The 21,189-nt window shown below is 53.4% G+C and overlaps 1 protein-coding gene and 1 long non-coding RNA gene across 45 annotated transcripts, besides 9 other annotated features; one reads left to right on the top strand and one right to left on the bottom strand.

Moving 5' to 3' along the window:
• POMT1 (protein O-mannosyltransferase 1) lies at positions 1 to 20,882 on the bottom strand. Of its 44 annotated transcripts, none has more exons than NR_148399.2 (21): positions 20,487 to 20,882; positions 19,460 to 19,611; positions 17,580 to 17,686; positions 17,347 to 17,397; positions 16,286 to 16,432; positions 14,778 to 14,889; positions 13,992 to 14,057; positions 13,804 to 13,897; positions 13,385 to 13,540; positions 12,333 to 12,463; positions 11,664 to 11,759; positions 10,469 to 10,561; positions 8,278 to 8,374; positions 5,263 to 5,355; positions 4,843 to 5,102; positions 4,314 to 4,411; positions 3,607 to 3,720; positions 2,328 to 2,454; positions 1,576 to 1,753; positions 630 to 868; positions 1 to 453 (listed from the first exon to the last, which is right to left on the bottom strand). NR_148399.2 is itself a non-coding variant. In NM_001353198.2 (20 exons), exons 3-20 carry the CDS (start codon positions 17,644 to 17,646, stop codon positions 694 to 696), a joined length of 2,082 nt encoding a protein of 693 aa, NP_001340127.2. In that variant the 5' UTR covers positions 17,647 to 17,686; positions 19,151 to 19,611; positions 20,487 to 20,882; the 3' UTR covers positions 1 to 693. The 44 variants fall into 44 exon arrangements, 28 of the variants coding, with proteins under 28 accessions (NP_001340127.2, NP_001340122.2, NP_001129585.1 ...); NR_148392.2 differs by having other exon boundaries at positions 4,843 to 4,963; positions 13,738 to 13,897; positions 20,727 to 20,882; XR_001746160.3 differs by having other exon boundaries at positions 4,843 to 4,963; positions 20,727 to 20,882.
• On the top strand, positions 5,897 to 7,242 carry LOC105376301 (uncharacterized). Its single transcript, XR_930402.3, has 2 exons — positions 5,897 to 6,273; positions 6,777 to 7,242. It is a non-coding gene; the product is annotated as an uncharacterized LOC105376301 (long non-coding RNA).
• Positions 9,980 to 10,480: an enhancer, noted in NCBI's record as "H3K4me1 hESC enhancer chr9:134388707-134389207 (GRCh37/hg19 assembly coordinates)". NCBI's record gives its function as "activates a minimal SCP1, AML or CMV promoter by ChIP-STARR-seq in naive H9 embryonic stem cells {active_cell/tissue: H9 hESC(naive)}" and the evidence as "EXISTENCE:reporter gene assay evidence [ECO:0000049][PMID:30033119]".
• Positions 10,481 to 10,981: an enhancer, noted in NCBI's record as "H3K4me1 hESC enhancer chr9:134388206-134388706 (GRCh37/hg19 assembly coordinates)". NCBI's record gives its function as "activates a minimal SCP1, AML or CMV promoter by ChIP-STARR-seq in primed H9 embryonic stem cells {active_cell/tissue: H9 hESC(primed)}" and the evidence as "EXISTENCE:reporter gene assay evidence [ECO:0000049][PMID:30033119]".
• Positions 19,292 to 19,361: an enhancer, noted in NCBI's record as "active region_29192". NCBI's record gives its function as "activates an Ori minimal core promoter by ATAC-STARR-seq in GM12878 lymphoblastoid cells {active_cell/tissue: GM12878}" and the evidence as "EXISTENCE:reporter gene assay evidence [ECO:0000049][PMID:35858748]".
• Positions 19,363 to 20,228: an enhancer, noted in NCBI's record as "H3K27ac-H3K4me1 hESC enhancer chr9:134378959-134379824 (GRCh37/hg19 assembly coordinates)". NCBI's record gives its function as "activates a minimal SCP1, AML or CMV promoter by ChIP-STARR-seq in naive and primed H9 embryonic stem cells {active_cell/tissue: H9 hESC(naive and primed)}" and the evidence as "EXISTENCE:reporter gene assay evidence [ECO:0000049][PMID:30033119]".
• Positions 19,372 to 19,451: an enhancer, noted in NCBI's record as "active region_29191". NCBI's record gives its function as "activates an Ori minimal core promoter by ATAC-STARR-seq in GM12878 lymphoblastoid cells {active_cell/tissue: GM12878}" and the evidence as "EXISTENCE:reporter gene assay evidence [ECO:0000049][PMID:35858748]".
• Positions 19,932 to 19,991: an enhancer, noted in NCBI's record as "active region_29190". NCBI's record gives its function as "activates an Ori minimal core promoter by ATAC-STARR-seq in GM12878 lymphoblastoid cells {active_cell/tissue: GM12878}" and the evidence as "EXISTENCE:reporter gene assay evidence [ECO:0000049][PMID:35858748]".
• Positions 20,229 to 21,096: an enhancer, noted in NCBI's record as "H3K27ac-H3K4me1 hESC enhancer chr9:134378091-134378958 (GRCh37/hg19 assembly coordinates)". NCBI's record gives its function as "activates a minimal SCP1, AML or CMV promoter by ChIP-STARR-seq in naive and primed H9 embryonic stem cells {active_cell/tissue: H9 hESC(naive and primed)}" and the evidence as "EXISTENCE:reporter gene assay evidence [ECO:0000049][PMID:30033119]".
• Positions 20,562 to 20,711: a silencer, noted in NCBI's record as "silent region_20418". NCBI's record gives its function as "represses an Ori minimal core promoter by ATAC-STARR-seq in GM12878 lymphoblastoid cells {active_cell/tissue: GM12878}" and the evidence as "EXISTENCE:reporter gene assay evidence [ECO:0000049][PMID:35858748]".
• Positions 20,782 to 20,981: a silencer, noted in NCBI's record as "silent region_20417". NCBI's record gives its function as "represses an Ori minimal core promoter by ATAC-STARR-seq in GM12878 lymphoblastoid cells {active_cell/tissue: GM12878}" and the evidence as "EXISTENCE:reporter gene assay evidence [ECO:0000049][PMID:35858748]".

Genomic DNA, 21,189 nt, shown 5'->3' with positions numbered 1-21,189 from the left:
GCCAGTTGGTTCCTTTTTTAATTACATTTAAAAAAGACAAAGGCATGGAGCTGTATGGATGACACACCTTGACCACTGACGAGGAAGATTTCACTCAGCCACGTCTCAGTGGAGTCTCAGAGGGGAGGGTTTCCACACAGCACGGTGCCAAGGGCCAGTCTTGACGCTGTCATAGACAATGACATGCAAGCCCCAGCCCTGGCTCGTGGTTCAGGTGGCCCTCCAACACTGAGCTGTCCCAGGACGCCTGCCGGGCTCGCTGAGGGCAGGGCCGGGACTTGCTCAGGTTGCTGGGTGTTCATGAAGGAGGATCGGGTCTGCCAGATCAAACTCCACCCTGCAGCAGTTAGCAAGGACCAGGCCCTGGTCTGCTGAGGCTCCACTGCTGGCCCTGGGTTCTCGGCTTTTTGTTGTCAATGACTCCTACGCTGGCCTCTGAAATACTCCCTGTGTCTTAGTTCAGGGGTAAAGACACGGAATATCTTTATTGTCGAGAAAAAATTAACTTTGCACAAAAGGAGGTGCTCATCAGAGAGCTTTTCAATGAGACCCCCATGTGTTCCACTAGAGGCCCTGCTCAGCCCAGCCCGTGTCCTCCCAGCGTGGGGCCCACCCTGCTCATTACGTACATTGACCAAGACCCTTCAACCTCATCCCGACCCCAGCACGGGTGTTCTTTGCCACACTCTTGTTCTAGTGTTTTCGGATCAAGATGTCCCAGCTGTCTTTCCAGCGAAGGGCCTTGAGTTCATGTGGCGAGAGTGACTTGTCCCCGTAGGTGAGTGGGCGCAGCGTGTTGGACACGTGGCACGCGGAGGAGTACCAGGCCACCACCAGGGCGCTGAAGATGCTCCTCTGGAGCTGGGACCTGCAGAGGTCAGAGCAGCGTGGGGGAGGGTGGCTGACCACTGCGGCTTCCCTGCCCGGCACCCTCTTGGCATCTGCTGTCCACACGGTCACCCCCCGAGGCCTGGGGTTCTGCCTTCAGGTTTCTGTGTCTTGTCTCCTGCCACCCATGACCATCTCCCACCTGGATGCACTGAGAGGGGCCCCCTGATGACTCCTCAGGCCTCCACAGTGGCTGGGCCACCTCCACACAGATGCCAGAGGACTGGTCCCAAACCCACGGTCCTCCCTTGTGTGGCTTCCTGAAACCGGGAGGCCCTCGCCCTCTGCTCCAACCTCCAAACACACTCTGGTTTAGAAGCTTTCTTGGGTTCTCTCCACCACACCACACAACCCGACCATAACCAGCTGCCGTTTCTGACACCCCAGGCTCCTGGGCCTTGCTCCCTGCTCCCGAATCCTCCAGGCCACCCACATCTCTTCATCCCCTCCCCGTCTCCCCACCCACTCCGCTTTCATCTCTGTCAGCCGCGACTTCTCCCTCTGGGTTCCTGCAGTGCCTCATCTGGGCATCTCTTCTGAACCTCACCCATTCCCCGGAGGGACCCGGAGGATGTCAGTGTAACGTGAAATGGGTGAGGTTCGCTGCACCCCATGTGTTTGCTGCGCATGGGCTTCCCAGCAGAGGGCTGCTGCCCGGTCCAGCCACTGTCTCCGCAGCCCCCGTACCTGCACAGGTGGTCGCTGATGTGCTGCAGGACCACAGGGAGCAGAAGGATTTGGAAGGTGAGTGCGGGCAGGTAGTGGTAGAGGAAGAGTGTCTTCTCCATCAGGAAGAACGGGAGGTAGTTCACTGCCCAGCCACCGGCACACAGCGCCCCAGCCAGCACCCAGCGCAGCCAGGCATCTATAGGAAAGGGCTCGAGCTACACCGACTCTGCTGCTCCCACAGGCCGGGTCTTCTCTCTCTTTTGCTTTTTTAGAGAGAGGGTTCTTACTATGTTGCCCAGGCTGGTTTTGAACTCCTGGCCTCAGGTGACTCCCTCACTTTGGCCTCCCAAAGTGCTGGGATTACAGGTGTAAGCCACCGCGCCCGGCCTGGCTGCCTGTGTTACCCAGCCATTTCCAGCGCATACGGGCAACATGGGACCAAGAGGGCAATTCCTGCCCAATACGCTGCACTCGACTGGAGACACCTCTAACGCAACATGGGAACTTAACATTTTGTCTCTTGGGAGACAAACATAATTTAAGATTCCACAATACAGAAACAAAGAGGCCGCGTTAAGGGGTAGGTTCCTATGAAGTCGGTTTGTCACTTGAGGCGGTGAATGCTCAGCGCACACCTGTAATCCTAGCACTATGGGAGGCCGAGGCAGGAGGATCGCTTAAGCCCAGGAGTTCAAGAACACCCTGGACAACACAGCAAGACCCCATGTCTATATTAAAAAGAAAGAAAGCCATGTGGGAGAGGTACTAACCCTGAGGGAGGTCATGGACATTTCTTCGCCGTCGGAGCAGGTACCACAAGGACAGCAGGGCGTAGATGGCCAGAGCGAGGCTGCCCGAAACCCAGATCACTATGTTTCCAAGTAGGTGGATCTGAGCCTAAGGGAACATGGGAGATGCTGTTAGCCACCTGCCCTCTGCTCAGGGAGGGAAGAGAAGAGAACACAGGAAAGGAATTCAGATGCACGCACTACTTTAGCAGAGTGAAAAAACGCCAGGCACAGCCTAGCATCCACTAGGCCTTACTACTACTGTGGACAGGTCTGCTCCTACTCAGACCTTTCATTAAAAGCACTGATGCCAGCCGGGTGTGGTGGCACATGCCTGTAATCCCAGCACTTTGGGAAGCTGAGGTGGGCAGATCACCTGAAGTCAGGAGTTTGAGACCAGCCTGCCCAACGTGGCGAAACCCCGTCTCTATTAAAAAGTACAAAAATTAGCTGGGCATTGCGGTGGGCACCTGTAATACCAGCTACTTGGAGGCTGAGGCAGGAGAACTGCTTGAACCTGGGAGGTGGAGGTTGCAGTGAGCCAAGATCACGCCACTGTACTCCAGCCTGGATGACAGAGCAAGACTCCGTCTCTCTCTTTCTCTCTCACATACACACACACACACAGCACTGATGCTCTCAATTTTGTAATTGGAAACTGAAAATTGGGAGCAGATGACTCCACTTTGTAACAGCAGCGCTGTCCACGGAGGAGAATGCAAAGTGCGCTCAGAGCTCGGGGTGGGGCGGCCTCTGGGCCTGAGCCTCTGCCTTCAGTGCACATGCTGAGCCGACCTACCCGCCTCTGAGGGAGGAGGAAAAAGGTGGGCATTTCCAGCGTCTGCCCATTCAGTGAATATTTATGGGGCGCTGACTGTGCGCCCGGCCTACCAATGCTTTCACTCTGCCGGGTGGAGAGACGGCACGCACATCAGCAAAGCACCGGTAAGCTCCACCACCAGGTGCCACACGGAAAATTGAATGGGAATATCTTAAAACCACTTTCGCCAGGAAAAGGGGAACAATGTGTCTCCACAAAAGCAATCAAGCCGGGTTTCCTTCAACAGGCACACATGCCACACCCCTACTCCTGGCTCCAGGTTGCCAAAGCGTTTAGAGAAAACCAAGTCACAGGCCTTTGTCAGGAAAAGCTTGGGAGAAACCCAGCACTTTCTAGGGTGCAGCGGCTGCTCTTAATGCAAGGAATTCTCAAGAAACAGGATGAATCTATGACTGTCAGCTGTCAGCATCGCTCGCTTACGCTGGTCCTGGGGTGCAGCCAGTAGGCAATATTGGTGTCCAGGGTGACCCACTCCAGTGGGCTGGAGCTGTACTTGTGTTCCGAGTCATCACTTCTCAGCGCCAGCATCCTCCACTGGAACAAAGCAGAGGCCTCTGAGATTGAGGATGGGGGATGCCTCCCGCTGTGCGTGGATTTGGTCAAAGGAGTACACTGCTGCCCCTTGCACGTGGACTGGCCCAGCTCAAGTTCATTCGGATCATGCATCGGAGGCAGCATGATGAGAACCTGGATTCCAGCCCTGAATGTGGCCTTGGGAGGGTCGCCCCACCCTATGTGCTCCAGTTACCTCCTCTGTAGACGAAGTGATTGGGCTGAATGCTCTCTAAGGTCACGTTCAGATTTGTGACCGTGAGTTTCTGATTGTGACTTCTCTTGGGCTCTGTTGAGTGTGGCCCATTTCGCTGCCTGGGGGCCTTAAGACACCCTGGCGATGTTGCAGAACCTCCTGGGTCCCTATTATTCCTGACCACAGGGCCACAAGGTGTGGGCCAGGGGTGTCACACACAGTCCCTTACACTGGAGAGAGGAGACACTCATTCTGTTGTGAGCCTGTAGCTCCAGCGTCAAAGCCTGACTCTGGTTTGAGTCCTGTGCAGCCCCCAGGCCTCCCTGCTGAGGAGTCAATGCTCAGCGAGCTAGGCCAGCTTCCCCTGGCCGCTCCTCACCTGCAGCTCCGAGAATCTCGCCATGAAGCTGAGGTTCCTGCTGACGTCCACCTGCGCAGGTGAGTGCAGCTCCCGTTCCCGCTCCCTCTGCTCCTGGCCTGGCAGAACAGACAAGGGCATAACAGATAGAAGTAGCACAAGGTCAAGAGCTCAGAGCAGAAGCTGTCAGTGCAGCAAAAAGCTGGCTTCCTGCCTTTCTAACAAAGACCCCTTATCGAACCGCATCATTCCACTTAGCTTTCCCCACCACACCCAAGACTGCCCGGTCAAATGAGGTGATTTCGACCCTGAGAAAGCTCCACTTGCACGGGGATAAACTGGTTGCCTTCCAGCGACACCTCGGAAGAAGCGTCTTGAGTTATTACTGCAGCAGCTGAGTGCAGGGTGCAGGGAGGGAGATGACCTGCCACCGAGCATGGAGAATGTGCTCAGTTCCCTTCCCACCAAAATGAGAACTCTGGGGTGTTATCAAATATTGAGCAGCTGAAAGTACATTCCAGGAGCGGCGGAAGCCACGCCGCGGACTCACTCGCGCCGTATCGGTGCTCCTCCACGTTCCACACCGTGCTCCCGTGGTAGCCCCGGGACAGCTTCTCCCCGACGATCTCCAGTTGCCGATACCCCCAGTCAGGGAGGTGAGCCCCGCTCAGCTGGTGACACCGCAGGAGAGTAAAGGGCGTGATGGGAAGGCCGTGGCTCCCGTGTCCACTTGGGTTGGAAGGGGAACCCCTGCCCGGGTCACGCTGTCAGCAGGTGCCCCTTGTGGGAGATTCACATTGGGATTCCATCCTGAGAAGTTACAAAAGCCGCCCTCCCTCAGTGTAAGAGGAAGCCATGATGACTCAAATGAAGCGTTCCGCCTGCAGAGAGGCGGTGAAGCCTGAGGGGCTTGGGAAACAGACTGGAGCCCACAGCTCAGGACAGGCCAAGCCACGGACAGTGTCCTTACCTTTAAGACAGCGGAAGTGTTCACGTGCACAAAGCGGACCTCTGAGAGGATGGTCTTCCAGACGTCTGTGTCAGATCCTCTGTTCACAATTTCCTGCAAAAAGACATCTCAAGGATTATTTCATTCCTTTTCAAATTTCCTTCAATGTAAAAATAAAGACCTGTCACCAAACAATGATACTGACTTGAGCCTGAGACAAAGGGACAAGTCCCCAAGTGAGGGAAGCTATAAGGGGCTGGTACTGGCCTTCCTTCCCAATGCCCACAGCACCCCGGGCTGCTCCGAGGGTCGCTGGGGAAGTGCACCCTCCTCCTCGCCAAGGCCGTACAAGAGGCCTCCTCACAGAAAATACAAAGCCTGATGTTCTTCGTGCCTCTCTGCAAAGCCTATTCATAGGGCTCAGAGCCCTGGCCAAAAAGTGAGCAAGTCTCAGTCCCTATCTGGCAGGACTCGCAGACAGCTCAGATGAAGGCCAGACACTGTCCCTGCCAGACACAGCTTAGAGATTTCCTCGCATCGAGTAATAAAAAAGACAACTAACATCTGAAAGGCACTTTGCCTTGTCACAGCCTGACATACTGGAGCCTCACAATGACCCCATGACATCACATGACTGTCATTTTCCCATACTGTCACAACCAGAGAACCCAAGAAGCTAGGCAGGAGCAGGCATGAGGAGGCCTGGCCGCGGTCCATGCCGCAGGCCGGGCGCGCACACCTCACGCATGCTCCCTCCTTCCTTGTTCTATGAACTTCAGACACCTGAAATGTGGGCTCCTGGTGCCAAAGGGGCCATCAGAAAGGACAGAGAAGGGTGCCCGTGAGAAGGGGCACAGCACTCACGTCAGGGAAGGACTGTGGGGGGGCGGGGATGGAAATGCAGAACGCACACAGATATGCAGAGCACAGAGACGGCGAGTGGGGCAGAGGGGCGCACTCTGCACAAAAATGGAACAGCCAATCTGGAGCAGTGGCTCACACTTGTCATCCCAGCGACTCTGGGAGGCTGAGGTAAGAGGACGGCTTGAGTCCAGGAGTTCAAGACCAGCCTGGACAACATAGCAAGACCCCATCTCCACAAAAAATTTTAAAAATCAGACTGTCCTGGAATAGAAAAAATATTTTAAAAATTAAATATTCAAAATTAACAGGGGCCAGGCATGGTGGCTAACCTGTAATACCAAGAGGCAGAGGTGGGAGGATCACCTAAGCTTGGGAGGCCAACACTGCAGTAAGCCAAGATCACGCCACTGCACTTCAGCCTGGGTGACAGAGTGAGACCCAGTCGCAAAAAAAAAAAAAGAACATCAGCAGATACCTGGCTTTGCTGTGAGGGCTGGCCATGAGGACGTGGTGCTAACTCTGTCAAGCGAAACAGGGCTGAGCCTGCGTAGGCAGAAAGCGCTGAAGCCAGTGGGAAGCTAGAAGGGGGGGTGTGACCTCACTATGGAAATAAGCCCAGTGCCTTCACTGTGGTCATGGGGCTGGGCTGCATTTAGTGTCCATGTCCTTAGATTCAGATGGCAACATGGTCCAGTAACAGAAGACTTTTTATGGAACCTTTCCCAGGAGACCCGATTCCGTAAGGGGAGCAGGTGGCCCTGGTCGCTGGAAGGAAAGGTGACCACAGACCCAGCGCCTCAGGAACATCCCCCGCACTCACGGCTAAGCCTGTCCCCAGGGAAATCCTGAGAAATGGAATTTCTCCTGGATCATGGTGGCAGAGGGGTGGCTGGAGCTCGTGTCCTGTGTTCAGGACCTGCTCCTGAGGCTAAACAGGTTGGGAGAACTTTCACCTGGCAGAGCCTCAAGCGCACCTGGCACCCAACATGGAGCAAACACAAAGCATTTAGAATCTCAGTGAACACAGGCCTCTGATGCAGGAAACCACCAGGTTCCCCAGTTCCACCAAGGAAGACGCATCGGTTCCCTGTGAAAACATCTGTGACTTTATGTACGAATAAAACTTATGTAACTTTACATCTGAATCAGAATTATTCTAAATATCCAACCTCAACTGGGTAAACTGAAAAAAAGGAAAAATGATTATTCTCAACGGCAGTTTCAAACATTCCATGTCAGGAAGTGCTCCGTGTGAGCAAGTGCTCCGTGTGATGGAGTGCTCCCTGTGAGGAAGTGCTCCGTGTGAGGAAGTGTTCTGTTAGAGGAAGTGCTCCGTGTGAGGAAGTGCTCCGTGTGAGGAGGTGTTCCGTGTGAGGAAGTGCTCCGTGTGAGGAAGTGTTCCGTGTGAGGAGGTGTTCCGTGTGAGGAAGTGTTCCGTGTGAGGAAGTGTTCCGTGTGAGGAAGTGCTCCGTGTGAGGAAGTGCTCTGTGTGAGGAAGTGTCCTGTGTTAGAGGAAGTGCTCCGTGTGAGTGTGAGAGTGTCCTGTGTTAGAGGAAGTGTTCCGTGTGAGGAAGTGCTCCCTGTGAGGAAGTGCTCCATGTGAGGAAGTGCTCCGTGTGAGGAAGTGTCCTGTGTTAGAGGAAGTGCTCCGTGTGAGGAAGTGCTCCGTGTGAGGAAGTGTCCTGTGTTAGAGGAAGTGCTCCGTGTGAGTGTGAGAGGAAGTGTCCTGTGTTAGAGGAAGTGTTCCGTGTGAGGAAGTGCTCCCTGTGAGGAAGTGCTCCATGTGAGGAAGTGCTCCATGTGAGGAAGTGTCCTGTGTTAGAGAAAGTGCTCCCTGTGAGGAAGTGCTCCGTGTGAGGAAGTGTCCTGTGTTAGAGGAAGTGCTCCGTGTGAGGAAGTGTCCTGTGTTACAGGAAGTGCTCCATGTTAGAGGAAGTGCTCCGTGTGAGGAAGTGTCCTGTTACAGGAAGTGCTCCGTGTGAGGAAGTGTTCCGTGTGAGGAAGTGTCCTGTGTTAGAGGAAGTGCTCCGTGTTAGAGGAAGTGCTCCGTGTGATGAAGTGTTCTGTTAGGAAGTGCTCTGTGTTAGGGAGTGCTCCGGGTGAGGAAGTGCTCCGTGTGAGGGAGTGTTCATTACTGACGGTTGTGGCTGCTATAGCCGCAGCCTTACTCACCAGTCTCCAGAGGTTCTGGGCGGGCATGGAGATGTTATAGTCAATGTAGCAGGAGACCTCCTGTGAATGGGGGCTCAGGGGGGCTGCAACATCATGCCTGGAAAACCAAGACCGAGATTTCAGAAAATTCCTTGAACTCCTCTGGAAGGCAATTACTAAATCTTTCAGGCAGGAAAAGGTTGCTTTTCAGAAACAAAGCCGGCTCAGCCATAAGGGGTGGCCCAGTCCCATGAGTTGCTGCTACTGAGGACGGAGGTCTTGAGGCTCGGCGATGGGAGTGGACACTAAACAGGCAGGAGGCCCTGTGGGAACATCTCCAAAAGAAAAGGACACTCTGCTGTGGAACCTTCCACCTGTTAGACGAGCGAACCAAGTTTCAGAGGAAGGAACCGTGCGCCCAGGCCCGATCCGGTACTGCTGCGATGCCAGCTGGCAGTACCAATGCTACAACTTGCAGGGCTGAGCTGCCCGCCCCTGCGCCCAGCTGGCCTGGGGACGCAGCAGATAAGCTGGGAGAAAAGGCTATCAACCTCAATGTTAACGAACACCCACTTCTTTTTTGTTTTGAGATGGAGTCTCACTCTGTCACCCAGGCTGGAGTGCAAATGGCGCGATCTCAGCTCACTGCAATCTCTGCCTCCTGGGTTCAAGCGATTCTCCTGCCTCAGCCTCCTGTCTAGCTGGGATTACAGGCACATGCCACCATGCCTGGCTAATTTTTGTATTTTTAGTAGAGACGGGGTTTCACCATGTTGGCCCAGCTTGTCTCCAACTCCTGACCTCAAATGATCTGCCCACCTTGGCCTCCCAAAGTGCTGGGATTACAGGTGTGAGCCAGCACGCCCGGTCAGGAACACCCACTTCCTCTTAATCCACACACTCAGTAACCATGTGGTACCGCACCATGCACCTGGCACTGTCTAGGAGCAGCCACCCAGCTGTGAACAAGACAAGGCCCTCACAGCCCTCTGGGAAACAGCCATCATGCCGGTGGGCAGAGCGTGCACCTGTAGGAGTGCCACTAATAAAACAAATGGTGGGGGACAGCACCCAGGAGGCACTTTTGGATGCAGTGACATCCCAGCAGACCCCTACATAGAGGGGCCATGGGGGAGCCAAGTCCAAGAACATTCTCGCAGAGGGAGCAAGTGTGAAGCCCCCAAGGGGCCCGCAGGTGGTTGTTTCAGGGCTGGGGGGAGCCAGGGTGGCGGGGGTGAAGTGTGTCAGGGTCACCAGGGACCTTGGCGGGTGACGGGAGTCACTGAGCACAGAGGAACAACGCAAGTGGGTTGTGCACGGTCCGCAGGCCGGACAGGCTGCTGCGAGGTAGAGAGGTCAGGCCCCAGGAGGTGGGAGTAGAGGGAGAAGGAAGGACCCCTACCCAGGGCTGGTTCTGAAGGTTGAGAAACAGGATCTCCCAATGGAATCAACATGCAATGGGAGGGGAGGGGAAGGAGTCAGGTGATGCCTCAGCTACTGGGCCCTTTCCAGGGAGAACCAGAAAAGCCAGGGCCAGAGACCGCCCCTGTGGAGCTGGGAGTCGTGGAGAGCTGGAGGTGAGCCCCGGGCAGCCGGGTGGAAGTCCAGGAGAGGTAGCCCCGGGACTGGGCCTGTGCAGAGGCAGCAAGGCCGGAGGGCCCTCAGAGACTGAGAGCAACAGAGGAAAAGGAGGCGGTGGAGAGAGCAGTCAGGGAGGAAGGAGGAGGGTGTGAGCAACTGTGCCCAGCACCACGGGAAGGCAAGTCGGACAAGGACGAAGGACTGAGAAGGAAGAAGCCTTCACGGCTCCACTCGTGCCCGAGCTTCCAGGCTTCTTGGACTCACTCATACTTTAAGCTTGACCACTTTAAGGAGGTGTGCCCAAACTCCATTCTCTGCATAGAAAGCGGGTCAACATTCCCAGCCTGTCCTTGTACACTCATCCACGGGGCCCTGAGCTCTCCTAGGATGGGCTGTGCTAGGTGCTTCTGTCCAGTCCTCACAGAGCCCCTGCTTCCTCTTAACCCCGCTCCCTTCCGCGGCCAGGCCTGGGTCCCCTCCCGGCATCAAATGTAGGTCTAAGAGCTGCTACACATGCAGATGATGGGTAGACAGGGGGCAGCGGCCCAAGGCAGGGCTCACGTTTTGGTCTGAACAGAGAACCACAGAGGAAACCCACAGGTGCAGCAGAGCAGACGGCGGGCACACTCACGTGTTCAGGGAGCGGGTGGTCATGCCGTGGACCAGCTGCACCATGTCCCCGTGCCTCACAGGTCTCGGAGGGCTGCTCACCACCAGCTGGTGCCTGGAAGACACAGTGCTGTCGGGACCACACAGAGCCTGGTCCCCTCGAACTAACAGCTGCACCGGAGGGGCACAGCTCTGAATTCTCATGGCTGAGACTGCCTCCCAACCCATGTGTGCCTCACATGAGGTGAACACAGGAAACCAAAGCACAGACATTAATTGGGCTCTTTTCTGAAACCAAAGGTCATTTTCCGAATGTGATTCTACCCGCGGTCATCACACCTGCATTGCTCTGAATTTGTCTACAAACACTACAGTGACAAATGTACCATGACTGCCAAGGAATCCTTCTGAAGGGCATTCCACCAATGAAAGTGTATGAGGGGGCCGGGCGTGGTGGCTCACACCTGCAATCCCAGCACTTTGGGAGGCTGAGCTGGGTGGACCACTTGATGTCAGGAGTTCAAGACCAGCCTGGCCAACATGGTGAAACCCCGTCTCTACTAAAAATACAAAAATTACCAGGATGTGGTGGTGGGCGCCTGTAATCTTATCTACTCGGGAGGCTGAGGCAGGAGAATCACTTGAACCCGGGAAGCGGAGGTTGCAGTGAGCCGAGATCGTACCACTGCACTCCAGCCTGGGCAACAGGGTGGGACTCTGTCCCCCGAAAAAATAAGAAGAAAAAAAAGAAAAAGCCCACTCGGGCTGCAGGTGCTGGAGCTGGGCAGGCAGCAATGGGAGGACACCATCAGGAGACAGTGACCGGGACAGCTAGAGACCTTGTTTGGGGGCAGAATCCACAGGACTGGATATGGGAATGAGAGCAAGGGGCACCTCTAGCTGGGATGTGTGCAAGATGATGCTACTTTTGCAGGAGGGGGGTTCTTGTTTTTATGAGGAAGGGAGAGGGACACAGGTCGGGGCATTGAGGCTCGCCTGGAAACTTCTCAGAGCAGCTACTGAGCAGGCTGCTCACTGAGGGTCTCATGATCTATTCCTCTGACCTTGGACTCAGCACTGAGCTGGTGTTCAAGGCCATGACGGTGACTAGAGTCAGTGAGGGAGGGAAAGAAGGGGGCCCAGGACTGCATCCCAGGGTCTCGCCTGGCCAGGCCAGGAGGTGAGCTCTGCTCTGGAGTCACAGGACCTGCACTCACCTCCTGGGATCCTTTACAATCCACCAGTTATTGACATCTTTGAAGGGGTAACAGGTCACCTGTTGCTGGTGGGAGCTGCCTCGGCCGTTCTCATATCTGTGTGAAGTCAACAAAGAGATGTATCTGGGCCAGGCGCGGTGGCTCAGGCCTGTAATCAGAGCACTTTGGGAGGCTGAGGTAGGATAACTGCTTGAGCCCAGGAGTTTGAGACCAGCCTGGGCAACATAGTGAGACCCTGTGTCTATTTATGAGAAAAAGAAAAGAAAGGGAAAGAAACGTATCTGGAAGTGGGTCATCGATCGGGCCCACACGCCTTTCTCCTAAAGTTTCTGCAAAGGGAAGCAGATTTCAACAAATACAACCTAGCAAGGGGTTTCAGGGAAAATGAAGATACCACAGACAAGGAGCCGAAATCAGATGATTCAGGCAGGCAGTGCTGAGGTCAGCCACAGCCACAGAGCTGGGGCCGACCCTGGGCCCTGCCACACGCCAAGTCCCTCCAGCAACACCCGGGAACCACGAAGCTCACTGGCAATCAGCACCCGGGCTGCTCAACTTCTTTCTGTCCTGCAAACAAACTTCCTCAAAGAAAGGGAAAGTTGCTAAGATAAGCAAATCTACGAGCAAATAAAGCATTTAATTATCTTCAAAGTAAAACCATCACCTTACATCATGGGGTAGGTGTCCTGGTGGGAATGAAGCCAGCAGGGCACAGGTTTCCCAAAGACGTTCCTCAGAGTGACCTGGGACCCAAAGGCCACCTCCAGTGGCTGACCCTGAGTGATCCGAGCTAGTCCTCCCTGAGACAGAAGCAGAAGGTTGATGAGTGAGAGACAGAAAGAAAAATGACCCTAAGCCAGCCTTCCCGATGGCCACTCCTCCCTCTGGGGTGATGTTTAGGCTGGTGGCCATTCTTGTAACAGTGGTAATGATCTCCCATTTAATCACATCACGTTACATTATAGAACCATAATGAGCACTAAGTCTGATCAAATGCTGCCTCTGGGCCAGGCACTCAGTTCAGCCTTCCACGCGCACCCTATTCAGTCCTTACAAGCATCCAATGAGGTAAGAGCAATGATGATGTCTGTCTAAGAGATGAGAAAACCAAGACTAGGGTGAGCCAAACAACTTGCTGAAACACACAGCACTACAGCACTGGCCGTCGGCAGGCTTGGCTGACTTCAGGAACCACAGTCCTGACCACCTCTACTGATACCTTCTACCACTGCTGCGAGGTTCATAGGAATGAAGGTCACAGTTGAGTGTGGTCCTTAAGGCGGGTGAAACTGCCCAGGGTTTGTAAGACTTGACTTTAAAATGCTCCCAGCTGCCAGGCGCGGTGGCTCACGCCTATAATCCCAGCACTTTGAGAGGCCGAGGCAGGCGGATCACTTGAGGTCAGGAGTTCCAGACCAGACTGACCAACATGGTGAAACCCCATCTCTACCAACAAAACAAAAAAATTAGCTGGGTGTGGTTGCAGGTGCTTGTAATACCAGCTACTTGGGAGGCTGAGGTAGGAGAATCGCTTGAAGCCAGGAGGCGGAGTTTGGGTGACAGAGTAAGACTCCATCCCCCCCACCAAAAAAAGAAATATGGATGTGGATTCTTCATGTTTTGATTCAAGTGCTAATGTTCACTTGATGTGTTTGTAAGAAAACTCTGGGTCCACTATCATCTTCCTTCTCCAGTGGCCACGATGCCCACTGCTTACTTACCTCTAAGCTGGCCTGGAAGGCACTGGACATGATTTGGTCGTGGGGCCCAGAGCGGAAGACTAGAATCAAGTGGACGTAGAAGAACAGTAAGTACAGGACGACCGGGATGACCAGCAAAGCCACTGCTCGGGCGAGCAAGTGACAGAACACACAGACCTGCCAGAGATTCAAAGAAAAGTCATGTTCCACTGCGTGGAAAAGCGTACCCACCTCTAGACATTGTGAGCTTAGAAAAAGTTAGTGACAGAAACTCTGGCCTCCCATACAGAGGCACCTGCAGAGGCCAAGAGGCGAGGCTGCCCAGGCCTGCCTGCTTCTAAAACATTGAGGATTGGAGTCTTTTCACCAAGTACCCCCTGTGACATCTGCATCTGCCCCATACAGGCCGGCCTCATGCAGCACTGGACATCAGCACCTACATTGGACAAAGTCTGGTCTCCAAGCAGGTGCCAGGCATGGACAGCTGCAACACCCAGCACGAGCACGTACGTGAACACACCCATGTACTTGATGCTGCAAAGACATGACAGAAATGGAGTTAACATGAGACAGGAAAACATAAGGAGATGGAGGAGGACACTGCCCAAGACCAGAGGCTCAAACTCACCCCACTGCACAGGAACAAGCGACCCCTGTCAGTGTTAGCCAGAACCACCAGCTCAGAGAAAAAGGGCTGGAATAAAAACAAAGCAGATGGAGACAGAAATAGTTCAGACACATTTCCAAAAGGCTAGTGAAGCTCCACATTCTTCAGAGAAATCTTTCTGGGTCGGCTGGCCATGCTGAGCCACAGGGGCAGTAAGAAAGAATTCCCATCTCCCAAAGTATCCATCCCAGCAGAATTTTTCTTTTTGCCCAGAAAATGTTGTCCTGTTAGTTTAAATTATAGAAAAATGAAGATGTATTTATGAAGTCACAAGCCAAGGGCCAACCCCCAAAATATTAGAGGACCAAAAGATATCTAGCACTAGGCGCAGAGGCTCACACCTGTAATCCCCACACTTTGGGAGGCCAAGACGGGTAGATCACCTGAGGTCAGGAGTTTGAGACCAGCCTGGCCAATATGGTGAAACCCCGTCTCCACTAAAAATACTAAAATTAGCCAGACATGGTGCTGTGTGCCTGTAATCTCAGCTACTCGGGAGACTGAGGCTGGAGAATTGCTTGAACCTGGGAAGCGGAGGTTGCAGTGAGCCGAGATTGCGCCATTACACTCCAGCCTGGGTGACAGGGACTCCGTCTCAAAAAAAAAGATATTTAGCAAGCAACTCCTCAAAATGAAAAGGTACTGTCTCACAAAACGAAACAAAAAAAGGTACTGGACCATCTCAGATCAACAAACCACCCAGAATCTCTGTTCTCGTTAACTAGGAAGACACTCCATTTTCCATACCTGTGCTTTTGGCAGTTGAAGAACTTCAGGTAGGACAACACGGCCAATAGATTGAAAAATATTAACACTGATTCCAAAAGCATTAGCCTTGACTGAGTGATGAGAGCATTCTCTGTTTCAAAGAGGAAACACATGTCAATTTTAAGGTAGCAAGGGAAAACGTATGAGGATGAAAAACACTCATGAAAAAAGGCATTACTTCAGAAGCGATACAACTGTGTGGGGCTGTTGTGAATGTTAAAACATTCTATAGACACAAGGCCTCATACAGTCATCACCCAATACACATCTCTTTTGATTTTCTACTGTCTCTTTCTTTTCTTTGAGTCAGGGTCTTGCTCTGTCGCCCAGGCTGGAGTGCAGTGGCACCATCATGGCTCACTGCAGCTTTGACCACCAGGGCTCAAGGGATCCTCCTGCCTCAGGCTCCTGAGTAGCTGGGACTATAGGCGCATGCCACCACACCTGGCTAATTTTATTTATTTATTTTTTTGAGACAGAGTCTTGTTCTGTCACCAGGCTGGAGTGCAGTGGTACAATCTCGGCTCACTGCAACCTCCGCCTCCCGGGTTCAAGCGATTCTCCTGCCTCAGCCTCCTGAGTAGCTGGGACAAAAGGTGGGTGCCACCATGCCCAGCTAATTTTTGTATTTTTAGTAGAGATGGGGTTTCACCATGTTGGCCCGGATGGTCTCGATCTCTTGACCTTGTGATCCACCCGCCTCAGCCTCCCAAAGTGCTGGGATTACAGGTGTGAGCCACCGTGCCCGGCTTATTTATTTTTTTTGAGATGGAGTCTTGCTCTGTTGCCCAGGCTGGAGTGCAGTGGCGCAGTCTTGGCTCACTGCCACCTCCACCTCCCAGGTTCAAGCAATTCTCCTGCCTCAGCCTCCCAAGTAGCTGGGATTACAGGCACCTGCCACCACACCCAGCTAATTTTTTGTATTTTTCGTTATTTTTAGACAGGGTTTCACCATGTTGGCCAGGCTGGTCTCAAACTCCTGACCTCGTGATCTGCCCGCCTCAGCCTTCCAAAGTGCTGGGATTATAGGTGTGAGCCACTGCGCCCAGCCTAATCTAACTTTTCATCTGCTTTAATTTCATCTGTTCATAAACGTGAGCTGGAAGACCCTCTCTGAAGAGGATCCACTGACTCACGAGTCCATCTCAATTGGCCAAGGCCTGGGAGGTGGTGGAACAAGGGGAAGTTATCATTTGGTCACAAGATTGGTTGGAGATGGAGGTGCCCACGTGTGCATGGACTTTGCAGCAGCATCTGGGCAGTTTTCTACTGCCATACCCCGACTGCTGATAAGAGTCTGATCCCACAATTCAGCAATCCCATAACCACGGGGTCAGCCTGGGAGCGGGTGACTTGCAGCGTCAAATTTGGATGAACCAGATGCACTTTCTGGTGCAGCTCGCCCACCAAGCCCATGTGATCTTCCGGGCCAAAGGGTCAGTTCTTCCCTGCATGACAGCAAGAGCAGGCAGGGGCGCAGGTCTTACCGATAAGCATCAACAGAGCAGCTCCCATGGCGGCACAATGAGAAAAGTGGAGCTCCAACACTATCTGGTAGGCCATGGGGACCGACAAGGCCCCCGCGAGTGCTGGCAGCAGGCGCAGGGACCACACAGGCACGTTGCTACTGTATTCTGGAAAAGCAACCACACTGCAGAGCTGACTACACTGTGCACACACCATCTCTGTGTACTGCAGCTATGCTTTCACATAGCGCCGTCATGTTCACAGACTCTAAAATGCACGTTTACAAAACTGGGGACCCCATCAGCAGCAGAGTGCATAAACTATGGGTGAAGGCTTTGAAATTAGCTTTGCATAGTCATGGAACCCGATCTCATGAAGCATAGACAGGACTAAGGATTCTAAAATTTACCGCCTTACTTATACATATTTACCCTCCCTGTTTTCTTTTTTCTTTTTTTTTTTTTCTCTGAGACGGAGTCTTGCTCTGTCCCCCAGGCCGGAGTGCAGTGGCGCCATCTCATCTCACTGCAAGCTCCGCCTCCCGGGTTCACGCCCTTCTCCTGCCTCAGCCTCCCGAGTTGCTGGGACTACAGGCGCCCGCCACCACGCCCGGCTAATTTTTGTATTTTTAGTAGAGACGGGGTTTCACCATGTTAGCCATAATGGTCTCGATCTCCTGACCTCATGATCCACCCGTCTCAGCCTCCCAAAGTGCCAGGATTACAGGCGTGAGCCAGCGCGCCCGGCCTACCCTCCCTATTTTCAAAAACATTGTGGCAATGGACAAAATTCACATGTACAACCGATCATCACAATCAGACGCTCTGTGATACGTGTACCAACGACAAGGGCTGAAATAATGACTGCAACTGAACAGTAAGATTTTAACCAGACTTTCCAGAAGTCTTTCATTTGTATCCAACCAATTTATTATTTTCTGGACTCAGATTAATAAGGCACAGTTTCTGTGGGACTAGGTATGAAAGGAAAAAAAAAGCCACAGTTGTTAATCCTTACAAAAGTCACAATCTCTTCATTCTAACCTGCGCACATTAAAAGGGAAATGAAAATTATCTTTTACCTGCTCCAATTCTGTTCCACAAAAAATTGCCATCGAATCCTCCTAAATAACCTGAAACAGAAGATTAATCAGTAACTATCCCATTCAGCAAATATTTCTAGAGTACTGTGGCAAGCAATAAACAAGATGCATCAATAATAAGACCTGGTTTCTGCCTGTAAGAAATGCACTGATAAGTTTTAAATGTATTTGAGGTCCTGAAGGGTAGGGGCTACTCTCCTGATGACTCCTACCTCCCAAGGCCAGCACCATGTGGCCAAATGGCGGCCCACTGTCATCCAAGAAGAAGATTTGTTTCATGTAAAAAGAGATGTACTGCCCATAATATACTTCGTCAAAACTAGAAAAAAAAACAACAACCCATATTATATTCAATTAGAATCTTAACTGTAAACAAAAACTGTGAGGATAAATGTGTATGTGTTTCCAAATGACTTTGAGTGAGTGATCAGCAAAGGCTGGATCTTTTGCCCCAATTGTTTCCCATCCCCAAATATTAAGATGCATACAGCATCACCCACCCACAGAGACATGGGGAATTCACCAAGCACAGCTGGCACTCAGCATGCCTGCCCATACAGATTCTGTCTCTCCCTTGTGTTTGATTTAGGTGGATACTATGAGCCAACCTGCTGAAAGACCTCCTGGGACGCAAGGCTAATCCTGCTTACCCACCTACCCAACCCCCCCACCCCCGCCCCCACCAGCAGCACATGTCTGTGGCTAGCGATGACCCAATGAAACGGCTGCAAGTATGAAAGGAAAACGTGGGAATCAACTGCAATAACATGTTTTCAATCAGGGAGAGGTGAAGATAACCAAGAAACTGCTGTCAATTTCTCAGGCATGATAATGCAACTGTGGTTATGTGATTTTTGTTTTTAAGAATCCTCAGCCAGGCACGGTGGCTCACGCCTGTAATCCCAGCACTTTGGGAGGCCAAGGTAGGTGGATCACAAGGTCAGGAGTTCAAGATCAGCTTGGCCAACATGGTGAAACCCCTTCTCTACTAAAAATACAAAAATGAGCCAGGCGTGGTGGCAGGTGCCTGTAATCCCAGGTACTCGGGAGGCTGAAGTAGGAGAATCACGATCGCACCATTGCACTACAGCCTGGGCGACAGAGTAAAACTATGTCTCCAAAAAAAAAAAAAAAATCCTCATCTTTTACAGATATACCGCTGAATTATCTATGAATACTAGGATTTGCTGCAAAGTAAAAACCACTGCAGGGAGGGGCCTGGCTGTGAACTGATAAGGTGAAGCTGGGTAATGAAAATACTGGTGTGTGTGGGGGGGTCATTCATTATACTTGTCTCCCTGCTTTTGTATATGTTTGACGTTTTCCATAATAAAAAGTTAAACAAAAAAGAACATGCAGCAGGGCGGAGTGGCTCACGCCTGTAATCCTAACACTTTGGGAGACCCAGGTGGGTGGATCATGAGGTCAGGAGTTCAATACCAGCCTGGCCAAGATGGTGAAATCCCGTCTCTACTAAAAATACAAAAATTAGCTGGGTGTGGTGGCGGGCACCTGTAATCTCAGCTACTCGGGAGGCTGAGGCAGAGAATTGCTTGAACCCAGGAGGCAGAGGTTGCAGTGAGCCGAGATGGCACCACTGCACTCCAACCTGGGCGACACAGCAAGACTCCGTCTCAAAAACACACACACACACACACACACACACACACACACACATACACACATTAATCAGTTAATAAAGAGCCCTTCAATAATAACAGCAATCACTTCCCATTATGACAAAAACACATTCTAAAAAGTGCTCTCAACAGTGAAGACTTACTTCCAAATCCATTAATCCTCTGCCGTCCAGACTTTAAAACTGTTACTTAAGGCTGGCAACCAGATTTTCCTCTACTGCACCCCTTTAATGGGCCAAATTTCACCTGTTACAGACTCAGAAGGCAAGACCTAAAAGGTGTACTCTGCTGGGGCTGTCCTGGGGACAGACTGGTCTCTCCTCTCACTGCCAAAAACACCTATCACCAAGAAGCCAGGATTTCACTCTCCCATTTATGCTATTCAGTAAGGGCGCCTCCTGTCACAAAGTACAATTCTAGATTCACCCTGGGAATGGAGTCATTTAGCTTACACCACAGCCCGCGGGTAGGTGAGTCGCCACAGCCGGCTCAGTAACCCCATCCCAGTCAGGGCCACAAGGCTCAAGTTGATGTCAGCCGTCACCACTACAGGGCGCTTCAAAAATCCCCACATCTTGTAGAAAAGCGGGCTCAGGCAGACGCCCTAGAAAAGAAGGGAGGAGCCGTGGTCCATGAGGGCTCACGAGAGGCTACAGAAGGGATCCCCAGCCACCCGGCTCCCGGACACACGAGGAGAACCACAGCACAGCCGGGCTGCTGAGAAAGACCGAAGTTCCTGGAGCCTTGGTTCAGGTAGACATGTGGGGTGAGGGGCACTAGCAGTGAACTCGGGTGGGAATTCAGGGGATCTCAGGACTGGACATTCACTCCTTTCAACAACTCATTCCACAAAACCTGCCGAGCACGTCTTGGGCGCGAGAACACTGCTAAGGAACGCCAGGGTTTCTCCCCTCCCTCCCCGACGACCAGAAGCCCACAGTGCGGCCACAGCTACCTGACCCTGGGCAGCTCCTGGGTGCCATCTCAGCTGCTTACAGCCCAGGGACCCCAACCTGGCCGAGCCTCGGGGCCTCCTCATCTCTCCTCAAGGATGCATCTGCCCCCAGTGCCTCCCTGCCTTCTATCCCAGCGGCACATCATCCCCGGGTGCTCCCTTTCTCGCCTGGAGGGTGCATTTGCACCCTGCGCCCCCACGTTCTCCTCCAGGCTTCATCTTCCCTTGAGCTCCGCTTCTCTTGAGGCTGCATCAGGCCTGGGACACCCTGTCTCACACCAAAGCCGCATCTGGCCGTTGGCGCCCCGCTGGTCTCCTCAGGCCCCATCTACCCTGGACGCGCCCTTCCCTCCCTGAGCTGCATCTGCCTTGAGCGCCTTCGTCCCAAAAGGTCCCATCTGTCCTGGGAGTGCCTCCTCTCCCCTTGCAGACCGCATCTCCCTGGCCGGCCCTTCTTCCCCACAGGCCGCACCTGTCCCGTCCACCAACTCCCGAGGCTGCGTCGGCCCCAGCTCCGTCCTCACCCTGAGACTGCACCCGCAGCACGCCCTTCCTCCCTAGGGCTGCACGCGCCACGGAGTTCTTACTTCGGGGCTCGGCCGCCCGAACGCCGCATCTGCCCGGGCCCGAACCCCGCCCCCAGCTCCGGAAAGACGGGGACGCCCCCGGCCCCAGCCCGTCCGCAAGCCAGGGACCCGCGTCCGGCACTGACGGACTCCCCCAAGTCCGGGCTGGGCTCTCGTCCCCGGTGTCCCCAAATGTACCCGCGTTTCTCCGAGTCCACACAGAGCCGCGCCCGGCTCCCGGCAACGCCTCGGAACCGTCCGACTGGGCCGACGGTTGGGGGTGAGGCCGCTCGGCACTCCGCACCACCCACCGCCCTGCTCAACGTTCGATTCACCGAGCCTGCGGGGCCAGACGGGCAGCAGCGCGCGTGCGCACTGGGAGAGGGTGACGCGCGTGCGCAGCGGGCGAGGGCGCCGGTCCCGGAGGAGAGGCAGGTGTGAAACGCGGCGACCTCCCCTCTCTCGGGTGCTACTGTTTTGTGTGCCAGGATTTCTGTGTACTCTAAGCAGACGTGCAGATTTTAAAAAGCGCAGTGGGCTCCCACCCATCTTCTGCTCCTTGCTTTTTCACTCCATCTGGCGTGAAGATCTTAATTCTGCGTCTGCACAACGGCGTTCTGCCGGGCGCGCCAGTTTGCTCCTAGTTTTTTTCTTTTCTTTT

The sequence above is a fragment of the Homo sapiens genome, chromosome 9 (genome assembly GCF_000001405.40).
Source record: "Homo sapiens chromosome 9, GRCh38.p14 Primary Assembly".
Lineage (NCBI taxonomy): Eukaryota > Metazoa > Chordata > Mammalia > Primates > Hominidae > Homo > Homo sapiens.
This window is presented reverse-complemented; position numbering and strand designations above follow the sequence as displayed.